General features: G+C 50.5%; 1 protein-coding gene across 4 annotated transcripts, besides 2 other annotated features; it reads right to left on the bottom strand.

Annotated features, from left to right (window-relative positions):
• Window positions 3,558–4,058: an enhancer, noted in NCBI's record as "H3K4me1 hESC enhancer chr17:72546952-72547452 (GRCh37/hg19 assembly coordinates)". NCBI's record gives its function as "activates a minimal SCP1, AML or CMV promoter by ChIP-STARR-seq in primed H9 embryonic stem cells {active_cell/tissue: H9 hESC(primed)}" and the evidence as "EXISTENCE:reporter gene assay evidence [ECO:0000049][PMID:30033119]".
• Window positions 4,059–4,559: an enhancer, noted in NCBI's record as "H3K4me1 hESC enhancer chr17:72547453-72547953 (GRCh37/hg19 assembly coordinates)". NCBI's record gives its function as "activates a minimal SCP1, AML or CMV promoter by ChIP-STARR-seq in primed H9 embryonic stem cells {active_cell/tissue: H9 hESC(primed)}" and the evidence as "EXISTENCE:reporter gene assay evidence [ECO:0000049][PMID:30033119]".
• Window positions 9,988–20,254, bottom strand: CD300H (CD300H molecule (gene/pseudogene)). 4 transcript variants are annotated; one of them, XM_011525569.3, is made up of 4 exons: window positions 20,028–20,254; window positions 16,664–17,020; window positions 15,579–15,642; window positions 9,988–10,481 (listed from the first exon to the last, which is right to left on the bottom strand). In XM_011525569.3, exons 1-4 carry the CDS (start codon window positions 20,086–20,088, stop codon window positions 10,454–10,456), a joined length of 510 nt encoding a protein of 169 aa, XP_011523871.1. In that variant the 5' UTR covers window positions 20,089–20,254; the 3' UTR covers window positions 9,988–10,453. The 4 variants fall into 4 exon arrangements, with proteins under 4 accessions (XP_011523871.1, NP_001392440.1, NP_001311002.1 ...); NM_001405511.1 differs by lacking the exon at window positions 9,988–10,481 and adding an exon at window positions 12,916–13,569 and having other exon boundaries at window positions 20,094–20,254; NM_001324073.3 differs by lacking the exon at window positions 9,988–10,481 and adding an exon at window positions 12,916–13,569.
• Window positions 20,255–20,584: the final 330 nt, after the last annotated feature.

Below are 20,584 nucleotides of genomic sequence, written 5' to 3' on the forward strand. Positions count from 1 at the left end.
GCTTTGAAGTATCCCGGCTCTTTCATGGGCTGACCTGGTCTCCCCTTCTGCTCATACCCACCCCTTTCATTCTCCACAGAATCAGCAATGTGATCCCTGACACACACACATGGCCCTGGGGAGGCGCTGCTGAACTCCCAATGGCTCCTGCTGTCACAGGATGGCACCCACCTGACCTGGCCTCTGCACACAGGTCCTGGCAGGCCCCAGCACCTGGTAGGTGTCTCCAGCCTCCTGGATCCAGGTTCACACTGGTGCTGCCACCCTCCCCACTCGGGCCTTTGTCCAGACCCTCAACCTCCCACTCCTCTGCCTGGCTCCAGCCGACAGGGTTGCCTGCGTGTTCCTTGACCTTCCCGGGTTATGGTGGCTCGCTTTTTAGGGGTCCTCATGACCCATTTCACACTTCCCTCTCGTCTTCCTCAGTCTTTCTGTTGGCGAGTCAATGTCTGCTCCCATCTAGGGTGGCCGCCCCTTGAGAGCAGGTGCAGCCTCTTGTCTCATTCACAGCTGTGCCCGTTATCATTCCAGAGTCTGCCAAGTGCAGTTTAACAAACTGGCTGTTGAAAGGATGAATGGGTGAATGGATACATGACATCCTGATGTCCCACTGCCTCAGAGGACTTAGTCATCCAAAGTTGGTGCACCATTTCCTGCCCAGGCTGGGGAGGAGACAGGAAATGCTGTCTGGAGGCCCTGAAGCCACCTGACCCAGGGAGGCATCTGCCCCTGGCAGGACATGTGCACCTGCTCCTCTCTCTGCCTCAGGGCTCCTCCTCCAGGGATCCTGGCGCTCACCCCCTCCTTTCTCCTGATCCCTGCTTGCTCAGCGCCTATTAGAGGGGCTTCACCACAGTCCCCCTCAGCTCCTGCACAGCAGTCACCCCACTTCTCTTATTTCATTCCGTGACTCTTTTCATCTCTGACTTTTATATTTCTTCTGGAATTTATGCACGTATTTTTGCATCTGTTTATCATTTCTATCCCCCGCCTGGAATATGAGCTCAATGAAAACAGAGCTCCTTGCCTGGGTGTTCACGGCTGGACTCCAATGCCAGGTCAGTGTCTGATACACCAGAAGCTCCCATAAGTATCTGCTGAATGTAAAAATAGGTGAGGACCCCCAGGCGTGTCCCTCCTTGACCTGGTGGACTCATGGGGATCATCTGCCTCACAGGGGTCTTGGGTGTGGCATCCCTGGAACCGAAACGATGGTCAGCTGATAACGTCTTCCTTTGTCTGGATAAGCAGACATGGTCTGCACTAGTAAGCAAAAGACTCAGTTAACTACCACATTAAGAAGTCACGGCCCTCAACCAATTTCCATATTTGAGTCAGTTAAAAGCCACAGCCCTGGAATGAAGGGGAGGTCAGGTCCCCTTGAGGAAGGAGGAAGGAAAGGCCTGGCTACCATGCCACAACTCACACTGATAATCTTCTACCAGCCCTCCCGCAGGGACCAGAAGACACTGGCCAGGATGTGTCTACATAAGGAACGGAATTGTCAGGTTTTGGGGGGAATCCTGGATCCTCTTCTGCAGGGACCCCAGTCCTGAGAGGCCCAGCCTGGGGCTTAGTCCACTATTCTGAGCAAAGGCCTGTGGAGATCAGGGAACAATGGAGTTTTCACCCAGGTCTGACTTAGTGGGCATGATAGGTCCAGAATCTATGTATTGTCATTTCTTAAAGTTCGAAAGCATCATTGAATTGACACACTCAGCAAATGGAAGCAGCCACATATTCTGCACTCCTGGACCCGGGGAGTGTGGGCCATTATGGTGGCAAAGGTGCAGGGGAGTCCTGGACCTGCTCCTCCCTGTGAAAACGTTGAAGGAAGCAATGCCAAGCTCCTGGAGAAATGGAAAGGTGCAGAGAGGGCATCAGGCACTTAGAGGTGTTGGTGACAGCTCGAGGTTCAGCTGGCCAGGGCGTGCACATGAGACATGGAGTCACAGCTCAGGGCGTCTGTGTCCATCAGGTTCACGTGTGATTCATGGATCAGGCACAGGGAAAAGGCTGAAGGAGGCTCACAGAGAATTCCAGGAGATGTGGAGAGAGCAGCCCGGGAGGGAGTGGTCAGGAGGTCATTCCAGTCCCGCAAAGGGGTTCTGTCGCAGTGCAGGGCCTTGATGGACAGTAGATGCTACTGGTTCTCACCCTCTGGCCAACTCTGCCTGCTTCCAGAGCTTCTCTGAGGTCCGTTCACCCAGACGACGGCACCCAGCATGCTCAGGAGCAGGGGCAGCTCCAGGACCAGGAGCAGGACGTAGGGGCTGCTGAACAGGGAGCTGTGGGGACACGGTGATGGCAGTGAGTCATCTCCCCAGGGGAAGCCCAGGTGCCCTCCACCTTCTGCCTGTCTGTGAACCCAGGTCCTGTGGCCACACAAATCCCTGTGAGGACAAACTCTGTATATGACAACTCCTCTAAAGAGATCATTAGACCCTGACCTTCAGCCTGAGAGTCCCTGGAGTCTCAGGACTGCCTATAAGGAAGCACGTGGCCGTGAAAATGGTGCATGAGGACAGGGAGGGATCCAGGTGAGAACCACACCCACAAGATCTCTACATCCCGGGGTTATTCACTGGCGCATGGAATCAGTCATGTAGTTTGATGCCTGTATGGCCATCATTTCCCGAGAAGGTGAGGACTATTCATGTTATTCACAAGTAACTGGTACCTGCCCTCTGGTTGCAAATATCAGCCTGTAAAATTCATGGTTGTTGAAGGAATGGAAGGAATGAATGAATGGCCCAGCTCAGCTCTCAGCTCCTCAGAGGACTGGGCTCATCAAACAGGATGAGACTCGGGCCAGGGCTGCAAGGGAGGCCAGGGGAGAGGGCCGGGGTCACCGGGCACCAAAACATCTGCCCCCTGCCCTGGCCTGGCCGGGTCCCAGGACTCCCTTGCAGGACATTTGCCTCACTCCTCCCTCTGCCTGGACCCCTCTTCCCCCAGACCCCAGAGCGCCCTGCTCCCAAATCCTGCAGGTCTCCACGCTCATGTCCTCTAATCCACAAACCCTCTTCTGATCATTGTCAGTGAAATAGCGACTCCAACACCCACACACATGCTCCCCAAACCCAAGGCACAAATATCTCTTCCCAGCAGTCATCAAACTTCGCTGTATTTGTCTGTCAGCCACTGTGCTGACCTGTTCACTGTGTGAATCCACCTGGTAGAACCCAAACTCCACCAGAGCAGGACTGTGGCTGAGTGGTTCCCTGCTGTGACCCTATCCTGACAGGAGCACCTGGCACTTAGTAGGACCTTCACATTAGGTGTGGGAGGCGTGAGCAAAGAAGGGACCAGAAGAAGAGAGACACAACCATCCCATCTCTCCCCAGCCTACAGGAAAGGCTGCCCAGGTGGCAGTCCTGGGGGCACGAACCTTACCCTGGGTGTGGGCTGGGATCAGGGCTGTCCTGTCTGGTAGAGCTGGGCCAGGTGCACGCTGGGACGTAACGGGAGGACCCGAGGTGCCCGTGGAGCTCTGAGACTGGAGGCCGCTGTCAGGGCTGCAGGGGCATCACAGGTCAGTCTCGGCGACCTCGCCTGAGTCTCCCACTCATCATCACCTGTTCAGCTCTGATTTCCACAGACACGATCACTCAGTACATGCTGGACAGATGCCCTGAGTCCAACACGTTCCACGGCCACACGCAGGCCGGACCAGGGCCCTGGGCCCCTCCCTAGTCTTATCCCCAAGTACTTCATAGCCAGATGAGCACTTTCAGAGGCAAGAGTCAACCTGCTCTCTAGGGGAACGTGAGAGTCTGTGGAAAGAAGACCTGGCTGCAGACCCCATCCCAGCCAAGGAGGGAGGGGTGACATTCACTCTGTGAAGCGTGACCTAGAGTGACTGCGGAGCCAGGGCCCTGGGCATGGCAGTGGCTGGAGTGAACTGGAAGTAAGGACAGGAAGTCAGTGGGGCCCTCCCTGAATGATGGGACCCGAGTCCACTCAACCCCAAATGTCAGCCAGGCTGGTGGCCCCACAAGGCCAGACACTTTCAGGGTGGGGCACACAGAGGAGTCTCCAACAACAGGTGCAAATGTGCTTTTGTGCATGTCAGCACACACACACACGGGTGCACACACACAAACACACCACACAATTGTGCAAGCACACACACACCACACCTGCGCACGCACACACACACACCACAAACACAACTCACACCTGTGCATGCGTGCGCACACACACACCTGTGCATACACACACAGCAAACCCATGCATGCACACACAGACACTGTGTCCTAAGTCACTGCCTGCAACCTCACACACTCCTGTCCCATTTCTCACTTCAGGGACAGAATGACCAGCCCTAGACTCAGACAGGCCTGGTGCTGAGTGAAGGGGGCTCCCCTGGGAACACCGACACCTCCACCTGGAAGACAAGGTCTTGGAAGACAAGATCTTGAAATTCTTGGAGCAATAGTCTATTGACCCCACACAAATATCCACCTGCATCCTCCTCTGTGAGGCTCTCCAGGGTCACTGTGAAGCTGAGGTTTGCAGGATGGTCCCTGATGGACACTCAGCCATTACTCACTCCTGCTGACTCTCCAGCCTTTACAGTCTTGTCACATAGTAGAAAAAGTGGTTGTCTGCACCAGTATTTGTTGAAAGTCCTGTATTCCTCCTCATACTGACACTGCACATTCAGGGATCCCCACTGCGGTGTCTGTCATGGTGCTGGGGCCGCCCACAGCAAAACAGCCTGGAAAATACAAGCCAAAGTCCCAGCTTCTCCTCAGATGGGCCTGGGTCAGGGATGTTCTGGGGTCAGGGCCTCTCGGACCCTGGGGTTGTAGAGGAGACAGTGGCAGGCAGACAGCCCTTGTCCACCCAGGAATCTGAACTGAGGGGTGAGTAGCTCCCTCCCTGCAGAGGTGGGAACGGGGAGGGGGGTTTCCATGGAGACAGGAAGGGCATGGACTGGGAAAACACTGTGCGTGTGCATGCCTGTGTGTGCACGTGCATGCATCTATGATTGTATGTGTGGTTCATCAAGATGGCATTTCGGATTGGATAACTGTGGCAATGACAATCACAGGCACCTCTCCCCCAGGGCCTTCTCTGTCGAGGATGCAGTGGAACATGACTCACCTGCGCTGTGCCCTGGAGCCTGGCACTCAGCTAGTGAGGCAGCTGCTGACAGCTCCTTGATGCTCCTCTGTCCTCCTGCCCTCTCTCCATGTCCCTACTTCCATGTCCAGGGCCCACCCACCTGAGACATTCAGGAGGAACAGAGCTGCCAGTAGCCGAGCAGCCCGATCCCTGGTGGCCTCTTCTCAGATGTCACTTGTCACTGCATCAGGCTCTGGTAGGACAAGGTGGAGTCCCCTCTCCCAGGGTCTGAGCCCCACTTCTGCTTTCTTTCCCTATCTGCTTCCTTGTCCAGCCCTGTCTCAAGTCTGAGGCTGGAGATGGGAGATTGCAGAAAGCTCAGGAGAGAAGCTCCCTGGGCCGGTGCAGGCACGCCTAGACTCAAGGGGCCAGGGACCAGGGGCCAAGGTGCAACCAGGATCTGAAGCTCAATGGGCAGTTCCAACCAGAGCAAGTTTCATCCCTAAAGACAAGTGCCCAGGGCAGGGGGCATCCAGGCAGGAAAGAGGAGGACACATCTGATTCTGGCCCATGGCTTCCGCTATATTGAGAAGCAGCACACACACTGCACGTTGAACTTCTCACTTCTGGGAGAGGAAGAGACACCCAATGTCCCTACTGAACATGTTCACCTAGGCTGGAACTTGGTTTGGTGACAATCTTCAATGCTTCTTATTTGTGAACAAGGGAAGCAGTCTTTGAAGCACTAACTATAACCAATGCCAGACCTAAGTTAGATTATCTATATAACTTGTGAACCAAAGTGTATCTGAGACAAGTCGCAATTAATTTTGGAAGTTTATTTTGCCAAGGTTAAAAGTACATCCATGACAGCCTCAGGAGGTCCTCACAACATGAGGTGGTCAGGGCACAGCTTGGCTTTATACATTTTAAGGATACATAAGACATCAATCAGTATATTAGATTGGTACAAAAGTAATTGCAGTTTTGCCATTACTTTTAATGCACTCCAGCCTGGGCAACATTAGTTTTAATGGCAAAAATCACAATTACTTTTGCACCAACCTAATATGTAAGATGTACGTTGGTTCGGTCTAGAAAGGCAAAACAACTCAAAGTGGGAGGGGGCTTCCAGGTCACAGGTAGATAAGAGACAAACAGTTGCATTTTTTTGAGTTTCTGATTAGCCTTTCCAAGGGAAGCAATCAGATATACATTTATCTCAGAGAGTAAAGGGATGACATTGAGTTACATCTGTCCTTTGTCCGTAAGGAATTTCTTTGTGAACGAATTGTGAGGGAGGTATGTAGCTTTTTTTTTTTAAATCTTAGTAGCTATCTTTTTTAGCAATAGAACGGGAGGCAGGTTTGCTCTAAACAGTTCCCAGCTTGGCTGTTCCCTTTGGCTTGGTGGTTGTGGGGTCTGGAGATTTATTTTCCTTCCACAAACTTCAGGGCTGGTTGGCAGAAGTATTGAACCCATACATTTATACGTATCCTTTTATTATCTGCCCCCTTGCAGACAGTGTCTTGCTTTGCTGCCCAGGCTGGAGTTCAGTGGCACAATCATAGCTCCCTGCAGCCTCAAATTCCTGGACTCAAGCAATCTTCCCACCTCAGCCTCCCAAACCGTTGGGATTATAGGCGTGAGCCACTGCATCCAGCCACAATCTTCTTTTTAGAGCTCAATTAATTATACTTTATTGCTTTTTGTGTACCAAGAAATTGATCTGTGAACTTCCCTCATTTAAAATATACCGCAATTTTGTAACCTTGTTTTTTCATCTCTCTCTCTCTCTCTCTCTCTCTCTCAAAAATAGAAGTGGCCCAGGCCCCTCTGGACCTTAGGGAGGCCCTGAAGGCCAGAGAGGAATAAAGCAGATATGTCTGATTCCAGTCCAAGGAAAGACATTCACTTTGGGCTTTAATCTTTGCTTAATTATTTTTTCCTTTGCAAAAGAGAAAGAGACTCAATTTCCTCAGTGGGTGGCTCTATGATATTGGATGTGCAGCTTGTCGACTCCTTAGGCGTTGTATTCTAAGTTTCTCTATGGCAGGCCTTGAAAACCAAACAATTAATCAACTCCGGGCAATGTCTATGGAGAGGTCACTCTGCATGTGAGAGGGGGACCTCCCCAGCCAGAGTCTTCCTGAGTTTCTGTGTGGATCTTCCTGAATCAGGTCCTTATGTGCAGGCTTGAGAGTTGAAGAAAGAAATTCCCACAGGGTGCGGTGGCTCACGCCTGTAATCCCGGCACTTTGGGAGGCTGAGGCAAGCGGATCACTTGAGGCCAGAAGTTTGAGACCAGCCTGGCCAACACTGTGAAACTCCATCTCTACTAAAAATACAAAAATTAGCTGAGCACAGTGGCTCATGCCTGTAATCCTAGCACTTTGAGAGGCCGAAGCGGGTGGATAACTTGAGGCCAGAAATTCGAGACCAGCCTGGCCAACATGGCAAAACCCTGTCTCTACCAAAAAATACAAAAATTAGCTGGCGTGGTGGCATGCGCCTGTAGTCCCAGATACTCGGGAGGCTGAGGCACAAGAATCGCTTGAACCCGGGTGGCGGAGGTTGCAGTGAGCTGGGATCGAGCCACTGCACTCCAGTCTGGGAGACAGAGCAAGTCTATCTCAAAAAAAAAGAAAAGAAAGAAATCCCCACAGGGTCACATACACACGTACTCAAACCTAAAGCCCAATGTCCACTCTCAAATCACCATTGTCTTTGCACTGGTTCCCTGTTGAAAATTTCAACCTGTCAGCACAGCCAGGGACCAGCACAGACTGCTTTCAGTTTCGAACTGTTTCCTGAAAAGCAAAAGGCACTGGAGGAGTGAGAGGAGAGGGAGAGTGATGGGTGGAAGGACTTCGAAAACAATGACTCCCTGGAGTTTCTCAGTTTGGGTCGCCTTGGCCCCCTCCGCCTAAAGCACCCTTCTCATTCTGTTTCCTGAGTCTGAGGATTCTGCTTTTCCCTTTTGCCATCCCTGGGCCACTCTGTCCTCTTCAGTGTCCTGGTCCAGTGAAGAGACTCTAGGGCATTAGTGCCGGAGAAATGCTGACACGATCACTTATACTGTATGCTTTCGGTCAGATTCTTTACTCTCTCAGAGCTGTTGGCAAGATAGCTGGAAGGAGGAGAGATTAACTCTTTCTTTGGTGGAAAAAAAGATGAATAAACTGTAACCAAAAAAGAAAGTCAAGCAAACTTTCAGAAGTATAATCTCATGTTTTGGTTTTTAAATTCTTTGATGGAAGTGTAACATACAAACAAAATAATACAAATCGTAAATGTCGGCTCAGCAAAATTTGAGGAAATGACTACCCGTGTCTAACAGCCACCCAGATCAGACACCCACGCCCTTGAGGAGTCTCCTTCCATATGGTATTTGGGTGGGCCTCTGTGATCCATAGATATGAGCCACGGGCTATGACTTCCAAGAATAAACCATCAATGGTACTGTGCCTTGCTCTCTCTTGGATCACTATCTCCAGGGAAAGCTGGTGGCTGTGTCTTGAAGACTCACAAGCAGCTCTTTTGAGCAAGGAGCTGAGGCCTCCCACCAGCAGCCACGTGAATGTGCGATGTTGGAAGCAGATCCTCCAGCCCTGGTCCAGTCTTCAGATGACTGCAGCCCCAGCCAACATCTTGACTAGAACTTGATGAAAGAGAGATCCTGAGCCAGCAACACCCAGCTAAGCAACTCCCAGATTCACGGCTCTCAAAATCATGAGATAATGAACATTTGCTGTTTTCAGCCGTGAAGTCATGGGGGAATTTGTTATTTATCAACAGATATCTAATATAGTTGGGCCACACTTGCCCAGAGCCAGTCTCTGCAGCCACATCCAATCCTTATTCATTTATTCACTCAGCAAGTATTTTCTTTAATGCCAACATTTGTCACCACACTCTGTAGCTGGATGCTGGGGCATTCGTGGTGAATGAAGCTGGCCCAAATGCTGCTGTGATATAAAGGGAGATGGATAGAAACCACCCGAAGGAAACACATTAACAGCATTTGGCAAACTGTGGAGAAAATAAACAGGGACCCATAATCAAGACAATTGGGGTGATCCCTGCAAAGGGTGATCAGAGGCATTTCAGAGGAGGCAACATCAGAGGTGAAACCAAAAGGATAAGAAAGAGCCAGAGGTAAGAAGATCTGGGGGAAGGGATTCAGGGGGAGGAACAGCAGGTGTTAAGGCCCTGGGGAGGGATGCACACTGTGGCTAGAACATAAAGACCACATGGGGACAGGGCAACATGATGAAAAGGAAGAACAAACGAGTGGCTGGGTCCCCTCAGACCAAGTAGGCCAAGCAAGGAGAGTGGGTGCTATGGTTTGGCTGTGTCCTCCCTCCAATCTCAAATTACAGCTCTCATAATACCCATGTGCCATGGGAGGGACCTGGTGGGAGGTAAATAAATCATGGTGGCAGGTCTTATGTTGTTCTCATGATAGTGAATAAGTCTCACAAGATCTGATGGTTTTATAAAGAGGCATTCCCCTGCACATGCTCTCTCTCTTGCCTGCCACCGTGTAAGATGTGACATTGCTCCTCCTTTGCCTTCCACCATGATTGTGAGGCCTCCCCAGTCAAGTGGAACTATGAGTCAATTAAACCTCTTTCCTTTATAAATTAGTCTCAGTTATGTCTTTTTTTTGGGGGGGTGGGGACGGAGTCTTGCTCTTGTCACCCAGGCTATAGTGCAGTGGCACAATCTCAGCTCACTGCAATCTCCATCTCCCAGGTTCAAGCAATTCTCCTGCCTCAGCCTCCTGAGTAGCTGGGATTACAGGCACCTGCTACCATGTCTGGCTAATTTTTGTACTTTTAGTAGAGACAGGGTTTTGCCATACTGACCAGGCTGGTCTCGAACTCCTGACCTCAGGTGATCCACCTGCCTCAGCCTCCCAAAGTACTGGGATTACAGTCATGAGCCACTGCGCCCGGCCTCAGGTATGTCTAATACCTTACTTTTGGGAGAGGAAGAGACACCCAGTGTCCCTACTGAACATGTTCACCTAGGCTGGAACTTGGTTTGGTGACAATCTTCAATGCCTTTTACTATCTGTGAACAAGGGAAGCAGCTCTTTGAAGCACTAACTACAATCAGTGCCAGGAAAGGTCTGAGGGAAGGCAGCTGTGGGGATAAGAAACACCCCCTTCCTGCCCCTGCACCCCTTTCTCCTTGTTAGTGCCCATCTCACCTGCTGTAGTCAACTCTTCATCGTAAGGGTCTGGGCCAGAGCTACCACCACCAGCAAGCTTCCTGGCTGACAGGTGGCTTAGGCACAGGAGAAGGGTCTGAACAAGGTACACTTCATCTCTGCCCAGACTTCCAGCTCTCAGAGAGCAAGAAGTTTATGTTTTCAAAAGACAGCATGTTTTTGACGTTGCCTGCAAAGGGTGTTTAAAGGAAATAAGAGAGATGTGAAGAGGGCTGGGTTAGATTGGTCAAGAGAGGAGCCTTTTCCTGGGTAATGACTTCCCAAACACGTGTGACAAATCCACTTAGACATGAGCCAGAGGACATGTTAGAGGAGGCTGGAGGGGAGAGGCAGTTGTAGAGGGTGAGATGAGAGTTTTTAAGCTGAAACTAAACATTGTCCAAGCAGTGGCCTTTTCATATCCACATCCCTCTTTTTCCACATCCCCCATCGCTAAGCCCTGGGAACTGCTCATTTGTCATCTATTTCTGTACTTTTGTCATTTTGAGGGTGTTATAGAAATGGAGCAATACGGTACGTAAACTGCAGATTGGAGCTTTTCACTCAGCATAACCTCCTCGAGATTCATCCAAATTGTTGCGTACATCAATAGCTTGCTCCTCTCTAGTGCTGGAGTGGCATTCTGTGGTAGGAATGAACTGCAATTTGTTGAACCGTTCACCCCTGAAAGGATGTCTGGCTTGCTTCCAGTTCAGGACTATTATGAATAAAGCTGCTGTGAATTTTCATGCACAGGTTTTTGGGTGAACATAAGTTTCCATTCTCTGAGATAAATACCTAAGAATGCGTTCACTGGATCATATGGTCCTTGCATGGTTGGTTTTGTAAGAAACTGACAAACTATTTTCCAGAGTGTTTGCACCATTTTACATTCCTGCCAGCCACATAGGAGTGATCCAGTTTCACCACATCCTTCAGCATTTGGTGTTGTTAAGGGAGGAGGCCACTCCTCATATTGTCTTATGCCCAATTTCTGCCTCCAAAGAAAGAAGAAGTAAAAACTAAAAGGCAGAAATGAAATCCACAAGCAGACAGCCCAGCACCACACCCTGGGCCTGGTAAAGATAGACCCCTGACCTAATCGGTTATTTGCATAAAAAAGCACTGTGAAGATCCCTGTCCTGTTCTGTTCCGTTCTAATTAACAGTGTATGCGTCCCCTAGTCACGTACCCCCTGCTTGCTCAATCAGTCAGGACCCTCTCATGCAGACCCCCTTAGAGTTGTGAGCCCTTAACAGGACAGGAACTGCTCACTCAGGTAGCTCAGCTCTTGAGACAGGAGTCTTGCCGATGCTCCCAGCCGAATAAACCCCTTCCTTCTTTAACTCGGTGTCTGAGGAGTTTTGTCTGTGGCTCTTCCTGCTACATAGTCACTATTTTTTTATTTTAGCCACTCAGATAGGCAAATATATCCATCCAAATAACTCTCTCCCAGGGCTAATTCCTAGAGAAAGTAAACAACTGGCCTGCAAGTCTGCCTTTGATATGCAAACCAAACCATTCCCTATTCCATGCCCCCACCTGCTTCCTTTCAGCAGGCTCCTGCAGTCTGGGATATTTTCTTTCCCCTGCCCTAAATCACCCCAGGGCCAGGTACCAGACAACTAGAGACCACTCTTGTATCCTAGCCCATCAGAATAATTCAAACTACACACTCCGAAGCCTGCTGTTTGCTTACCTTACCTTGCCTATCACTTCCTCTGAAAACCATGATAAAGGCTCCCACATACATTTCCTCTCTCTCTCTCTCTGCCCCTTCACCCGCCCTCGTGCTTCCCCGTGTGGCCCTACATGGCACACTGCACCTCCTGCTTCTAGGGGTCTTTGAGTAGAAACTTATTTCTTTATGACAGTCATTTCCGTATCTGCATGCCTTACCATATCTGGTTAAAACAAATCCTGGTACATTTTTTTGTTTTGTTTTGAGACAGGGTCTCACTGTGTCACCCAGGCCACAGTGTAGTGGTATGATCATAGCTCACTGCAGCCTCCATCTCCCAGGCTCAAGCATTCCTCCTGCCTCAGCCTTCTGAGAAGCTGGGACTACAGGTGCGTGCCACCATGCCTGGCTAAATTTTTTTTTTAAGTAGGCATGAAGTCTTGCTATGTTGCCCAGGCTGAGTTCAAGCAATCATCCCGTCTCAGCCTCCCAAAGTGTTGGCATTAGAGATGGGAGCCACCATGCCCAGCCTCAGGTACATTTTTAAACATGTCCTCAATACATTAACCTGGTCCCTGAAAAACTCAGAGGGGTCCCATCATATAACAGTAAACCAACTTAAACTGAACCAGTTGATGGCCCAATCACAGTTTTGTTTTGTTTTTGTTTGTTTGTAGGGAGTTCCCTACAATCTACTGTCAGGAAAGGAAAAAAATCCAATATGGTTTATGAGCAGAAGAACTTGCAACAGTATGATTTCCTCTGTGCAGGATTCAAAAACAACCATGTCCTTGCTCAGCACACTAAAGCAAGGGAGTGATTACTCCAAGAAATATTCAGATAGTATTTAACCCTGACAGTAGGGGAAAGACAGTTATGAGGTCAGGGAGAGGCATATGGGGGGCTTCAAACATCTTAATAATGATTGATTTCCTAGGCTGAATGGTGGGTACACATGTTTATTTTTAGTCCTTGAACTGTATAGATACCTCATATACATACTCTTGTGTATGGGATGTATTTTATTTATTTATTTGTTTATCTGAGACAGGGTCTCCCTCTGTCACCCAGGCTGGAGTGCAGTGGCACAATCTCGACTCAATGCAACCTCCACCTCCGGGGCTCAAGCGATCCTCCTGTCTCAGCTTCCCAAGTAGCTGGGATCACAGGCATACACCACCACACCCTGCTAATTTTTGTATTTTTTTGTAGAGATGAGGTCTGACCATGCTGCCCAGGCTGCTCTCAAACTCCTGGACTCAAGTGATCCACCTGCCTTGGCCTCCCAAAGTGCTGGGATTGCAGGTGTAAGCCACCGCACCCGGCCTACATTTTTTTTTAACTTTTAAAAAGTATCCGGTGATAAGATGGAAAGAAATATGAGGGTCAGGGTCAGAAGTCCTTTTTGCAGTCAGAGGGGCTGTGTCTCTGGACAGGGTTCCAATGGGCATGGGGTGTTGCAAGTTCTCCTGTTCATGACTCTGTCCAAGGAGTCCTCCAAGGCCTGTTCACCCAGAGGATAGCACCGAGTATGCTCAGGAGCAGAGGCACCTTCAGGAGTGGGAGAAGCAGGAAGCAGGTGCTGCTGGGCAGGGACCTGTGAGACGGAGAGAGTGACTAGTAGTAAGCTGCCTTCTCCGGGGAGTCCCAGGCTCTGCCTCTCCCCCGCCTTCCCTCGAGGTCTCGTCCTGTGCCCTCAAACCCAATGTCAGCATCAAGCCTGGTGGGTACCAGGGTCAGGCAGCCCCATGCTGAGGGTCACAGGCTCCTGACCTTCATTCAGCTCAGAATTAACCTTGAGTGTCAAGACCCAACAGATGCCGGAGGTGAGGGATAGAGAAGAAGAGAGATATGTTAACCCAGGCAGGAACTGGCTCCCAGAAACAACTTCCTGAACAGATCCCTCAGCCACTGATGCCCGCAGGAACTCAGCTCTTGCTGGGAACAACCTCAAGGATGAAATACTCCTTTACAACCATCTTCACTCAAATTAAATATGATCACAAGAACAGCTCTTTTGCTTAAACGGCTTAACAATCTCAACCCCAAGGAGTGAACTCTCCAAGCTCAGCCCATGGCCAGTCGTCTCGCTCCGTGGGTCCCACTACACTGCTCCCATTCCAACTCCTCAGATGCTGCATTCTCTCCCCAAAATGGGCCGCTGTGCCATCTCTCCACCTTCCCAGCCCTCTACCTGCAGGGCTTGTCTGATGCCCTCCCTGATCCTCTCTAAGACGAGTCCCTGTAACAAACCCTGTTGGCGCCCTGCCCCATATCACCTTTGCCCACTTGAGCTCCTGGCAGCTGCAGGCAGTCTTGGCCCCACCAAGGATTTCCCAGCTCAAGCTCCCCATCTCTGCCTGAGGTTATCTACAAGAGTGCACACATTTTCCTGTGCAGAGCAGGCCAGATGGGCCACAGAATTCATGCCCCCAGGAGTGCCTGCTGCCTGGAAGACTCTGTCTCCAGTTCTGAGGAACGTTCTACACAGTCTCTCATAGGGTGCCCAGAGGGGTTAATCTCCAGTGACTCCAGTTACTACGGGGATAACCCCTTCATTACAGCACATTTCACCGCCCTTCCCCTTTCCTGGTCTCACTTTCTGCTCTCTCAATGTACTTCTTGAGATTACCTCTCAATAAACAAATTGCTCCTAAGTCCTTGTCTCAGGACCTGATTTGGGGGAAACCCAAACTAAGACAGTCCCTTTGTTCTTTGTTTCTGTGGAACATCTTGTATTTCCTTGATAGCCCAAATCATGCCCCACCAGCTTCCCACACACTCTGGCACCCTATCTCTTTACACCTGCTTTATTTTCCTCCACAGTAATTATCATTCGTTGACATATTTCCTTGATCTATCGTCTCTCTGTCTCTATTACATATCTCTCTCTGCCAGCTATCATCTCCATCTGTCTTTCCAGTCAGCCAGCCAGCCATCTCTATCATCTTTCATATCATATCTATCATCTGTCTGTTTATCTATCTATCCACCTATCTATCTATCTATCTATCTATCTATCTATCCATCTATCTGTCTGTCCACCTGTCTGTCTGTCTATCTATCTATCCATCTGGCCATTGCCTGAATCTACCTATTTGCAACTTCCTCAAGAGCACAATCTTGCCCCTTTGTTCACTGTTGCATCTCTAGAATCTCCATCAGTTTCTGGCGCATAACAAATAAACACCTGTTGGCCGAGCACGGTGGCTCACACCTGTAATCCCAGCACTTTGGGAGGCCGAGGCGGGCAGATCACGAGGTCAGGAGATCGAGACCATCCTGGCTAACATGGTGAAACCCCCGTCTCTACTAAAAATACAAAAAAAAAAATTAGCCGGGCCTAGTGGCGGGCGCCTGTAGTCCCAGCTACTCAGGAGGCTGAGGCAGGAGAATGGCGTGAACCCGGGAGGCGGAGTTTGCAGTGAGCCGAGATCGTGCCACTGCAGTCCAGCCTCGGCGATAGAGCTAGACTCTGTCTCAAAAAATAAATAAATAAATAAATGTTGAGTGGGTGAATAATCAAGGAAACCTGTGTCTAGGAAGCCCCACCCTAGGAAAGAAGCTGCACACATGGCAAAAGACACTGGGACACGTGCATTTTACCCTTGGCATTGGCTGGGCCTGGTGGGAGATGCAGGTGTCTTCACAGAGTTCTCAGTACTGGAGGCTGAGGATAAAGAACAGAGGTTCAGTGCCCTACGCCTGACTCTTCCCAGCTGAGTACCTGGTACCTGCATGGTTCTGACTTCATAAAGCAGAGGACGCTCAAGGAGGCAGCTGGACAGATGTTCTAGGACCATCGTCTTCCAATAGGCAGACCAAAGCCTGACTGGAGTAACAGAGCATCCCCCCAACCCCATCCCAATGGATGCCCTGCTCTGGGGCCGGGTGGGCATTTTATAAACCCAGACCAGAGGATGACCACCTTCTCCCATGTTGGTGTCCCCCATCTCGCTGAAAATCAACATGCCGAAGGTTAGGCTTAGGTTCCAAAACCCCCATCCTTGCCAGTGTATCCACACACCACCACTACCCTCCAGCACACACTCTCTGTCTCACACACACTCTCACACCTGCACACACACTCTCACATGTGCACTCACGCAACTTCACAAATACACTCACACGCCCACTCACTCACACACGCCTGCTCTCACACACACTCTCACATGCACACTCACACACCTGCTCTCACACACACACCTGCTCTCACACACACTCACACACACCTGCTCTCACACACACCCACACACCAGCTCTTGCACACACTCACACACTTGCTCTCACACACACTCACACACTCACACACCTGCTCTCACACACACTCCCACACTCACTCACACCTGCTCTCACACACTCACACTCACACACACTTGCTCCCTCACACACTCACACACACTCACACACACCTGCTCTCTCACACATTCACACACACCTGCTTTCACACACACCTTCACACCTGCACTCACTCTCACATGTTTGCACACAACTCACAGTCACACACTGAAACACACTTACACTGTCCCACTCATTCAAACACACATGTATTTCCCACACACATTCACACAACATACTCTGTCCTGAGTCTCTGATGCACCACACTAGGCCCAGTTCTTCTCTCCTGGGCCAAAATTTCTGTGGCTGCTCTGCAGAGATGGCCTCAGATGCCTGAGAAAAGAGGCTCTTACCCGATGAGACCAGCACTTGAACCTGGAAGAAGGGATCGGGCAGGAAACCAGACAGGCCATCTTCCTGCAGTATTGTTGCAATCCCACATCGGTATTTTCCTGCATCGTCTGCCGTGAGGTTCTCCAAGGTCACGGTGAAGGTGAGGTCTCCAGGATGGTCCGTGATGATCACTTGGTCACTCCTCACCACTCCCTCAGACCCTCCGGTCTCCACCATTTCATGCCAAATTGGCAAGCATGGTTGTCTGCACCAGTATTTGTTAAACGTCTTGTATTTCTCTTCATACCGACACTGAACACTCAGGGATTCCCCCACGGCGCCCATCACGGTGCTGGGGCCACTCACAGTCAGACAGCCTGGAAAACACAAGTCCGTTTCCCCGTCTTCACCTGGAAGAGTCTGGACCAGTGGAACCTTGAGTGTCAGGTCCTCTGCACGCCCAGTGTTGCCTGAGGCTGGAGGAGGGAGGAGTCGGGAACCAGGGAGCTATGGGCTATTTGCAGGGGGAGACCCAAGGAGATGCCCGGTGTGGGATCCTGAGACTCCAGAGGCCATGCCAGCCTGGGTGTGCTCAGCCATCTTATAATATCAGGGGGAGAGGCTTGACCTCGGTGGCCTCAGACAGGTTCTGGGTCCCCCAGAAGTGTCAGTCCTGAGAAGAAACACCTGTCCTCATCGAACACCAATGATTGAATGAAGCCACTAAGTACACTCTGAATAAATGGATGGCTGGAGAGATAGATGGATGGATGGATGGATGGATGGATGGATGGATGGACGGATGGATGAAATAGGAAAGGAAATAATATTGAGAACCAGGAAAAACCAGAAGCAGCCCAGTATGGAGGGCAAGGAGGAAGCCTGGGGCTTCTGGTTCTGCCCCTTTCCCAAATCATCTGTGGGCCTCATACTTGCCATCCCTGCCCATATAGATGAGGCCTCCTGCTCCCAGGTCTGGGTCACAGAGAATATGGGGGCTGCCCATGGGGATATCAAGGGGCCATGTAGAAAGGAGTTGTTCTTGTGATTCAAGGACATTTACGCCTGGAATTTTCCCCCGGGACAGAATCCTGCAGCAACACTCGCCATTGCCTAACATCTGCAGGGCTCCGCTCCACAGGGACACCCATCAGAGCTTCCTTCCCACCCCCAATTCTCTGCAGCACCCACCCGCCTTGGCATGTCCTGGGCCTCTTCTCCAGGTCCTCTGCCCCCTCCAATATTTCGACATTACTCTCCCTCTTCGAGTCCCCTCTCTCATTCCTCCACCCACTCTGCAGGCTCCGGGTCCAAATGATTGGGACCCAGCCCCATCAACTCTCTGCTTCCTGCCTCGGGGGCCTCACCAGTCCTAAACAGCTGCTGTCTCATCTGCTCTTGACAGGGAGGTGGTTAACTCAGGACAAAACGGCTATTGAGAAATGGTTTTGGCAAAATACCAAGCTCCTGAAAAGGAATTGTGGATGTAATCTGTCTACCTATCAACTATCTATCTATCTATCTATCTATCTATCTATCTATCTATCTACTATCTATCCATCCATCCATCTTTCATCTACCCACCCATCCATCTAGGTAATATATTGCCATCCACTGATGGAGAGGCTTTGCTATATTTTTATTGTGAATTAAAAGAAAAATCTGGCCAGGTGTGGTGGCTCATGCCGATAATCCCAGCACTTTGGGAGGCCGAGGCAGGTGGATCACCTGAGGTCAGGAGTTTGAGACCAGCCTAACCAACACGATGAAACCCTGTCCCTATCGAAAATACAAAAAATTAGCCGGGCGTGGTGGTGGGTGCCTGTAATCCAGCTACTCAGGAGGCTGAGGGAGGAGAATCACTTGAACCCAGGAGGTGGAGGTTGCAGTGAGCCGAGATCGCACCACTGCACTCCAGCCTGGGCGACAGAGTGAGACTCTGTCTCAAAAAAAAAACAGGAAAACTTTATCTTTTGCATCTTCATTTTCTTATCTCACGTTTTCTCACTTTATTTCCCAGAAAGCAGGCTCGAGTGGCCCACTGACCTATTCTGCATTAGAAAGCTGTCTGCCTCTCTGAAGCAGTGATTCTCACCTGGGGGGCAGGGGGGCGGGGAGGGGGCGGGGGGGCAGGGGGGCGGGCGGGAGAACATTTGGTAATGACTACAGATATTTTTGGTTGTCCCAACTTAGGGTGGGGAATTGCTGCTGGCATCTGGTGGGTAGAGGCCAGGGATGCTTCTAAACATCTTACAATGCACAGGACAGCCCCCAACACACAGAATAACGCAGCCCCAAATGTCCACAGTGTTGAGGTCCACGAGCTTTCCCAGGGAGCTAACTGCCTGCCAGGCACAGGCTTAGGAGCAAGGAAGGGGTGGGCACACCCAGTCCTCTCCTGAAATCGCTGCTGCTCTCAGCTCAGGCTCTGGGGGCGCTGTTAGCCTGCTCTTTCAGGTCCTTAAACTTCTCTCTTAATGATTTGGGGCTAATTCCACAAGGAGCAAAAACATTGTGGGGCACACACTGAATCCCACCACAGAGCCTCCCTCTCCTTGGATATTCAGTCCAGACCCTGACTCTGAGCCAACATGGGCAGCCTCCTCCACCTCCACCCCCACCATCTTTTACGGAGCTTCCCGCCTACCCAGCCTTGCAAAGAAACTGACTTTCTCCCTCCACCATCATTTACGGAAACTCTCGGACCAGGGCTGACCACAGGTTCCCAGCTGTCTCACCCTTCTGGGGGCCCATTAAGTAGCAGCCCTGGGGCCAGCCCAGACCTGTGGGGACACCCAGGGTTCCCACGTGGGGATGCAGCATATGCCTCCAGATATGTAAGTGAAGCTTTACAAGGAGGCGCAGCAGACATTGACATTGAATTAGAGAAGGAGCAATGATCTTGGAAATAAAAGTATTTAGGTTTGGACCTTGACTGTGCCTTTTATAAACTGTTTAATCTAAATTATTTGCACCTCTAAGAGCGAGCTTCGGTCTCTTGTTTTCATCAGGATTGCAATAAGAATTAAATGAGATAGTGGGAAACAAGATATGTATTACAGTGATTAGCCTAGTAAGTACTGGTTTTCTGTCCCCTATTCCCCCTTCTCTCTGATGGATCGTGGTGGCATTCCTGATCTTAATAATGACGGTAATAATGATTAAAGTTGCCAAATCTACTTAGGGCTTACTGTGTGGGAAGCAGTTTACCGTTTAATCCCCACCCTATCCCGATAAGGAGATTTGAGAAGCTTCTATGCACACCTCACTCCCTCTTTCTTGATATCATTTCTTCCTCTTGCCCCTCGCCAGCCTTTTCTCATGCCTGCCTCACCCTGACCCGCCAGAGCAGACCTCCCTGCACCCAGGACCTGCCCTGCTCATCTGGGACACAGAGAAGGAGCAGAGCTGAAGGCAGCATGGCAGCCCCAGCCCTCTGGGTCATCTCACCAGCATGGAAGTCCCTTGTGGCAGCAGGGTCTGAGGCTCTTTTTCCTTCTCACATCTCTCGTTTCCTTCTCTGGCCTCTTCTGGGTTTGGTTCTCAGAGCTGGTGAGAGTATGGAGGAAGCTGGGGCCATGGGGCACTATGTGGTCAGGTGAAACAATTTTGAGAACTTGCTGAAGTTCTTCCTAATAAAACATGTTTGCATTTGCTGTTCCTCTTTCTGTTCCCAGTAAAGACAATGTCCCTCCCATTACCCACAGCTGACAGGCCTGCCCTTCTCCAAATCACAGCATGGCCCAGGACCAGTGAGACTGGGCCAGCTGCCATCTGGATTTTCTGGGCAGGTCCTCCCCTCTGTGAATGGCCAGTTTTCTGTGGCCAGCATGAGCCGCCCCAGGGTATGGCTCAGCCTTCACTGGATGGATGAGACTGGCTATTTGCAGAGCCCAGTGTAAAATCAAACCTAGGTTTCCAAAATTATTAAGAATTTCAAG

Source organism: Homo sapiens, chromosome 17, assembly GCF_000001405.40.
Source record: "Homo sapiens chromosome 17, GRCh38.p14 Primary Assembly".
NCBI classification, from domain to species: domain Eukaryota; kingdom Metazoa; phylum Chordata; class Mammalia; order Primates; family Hominidae; genus Homo; species Homo sapiens.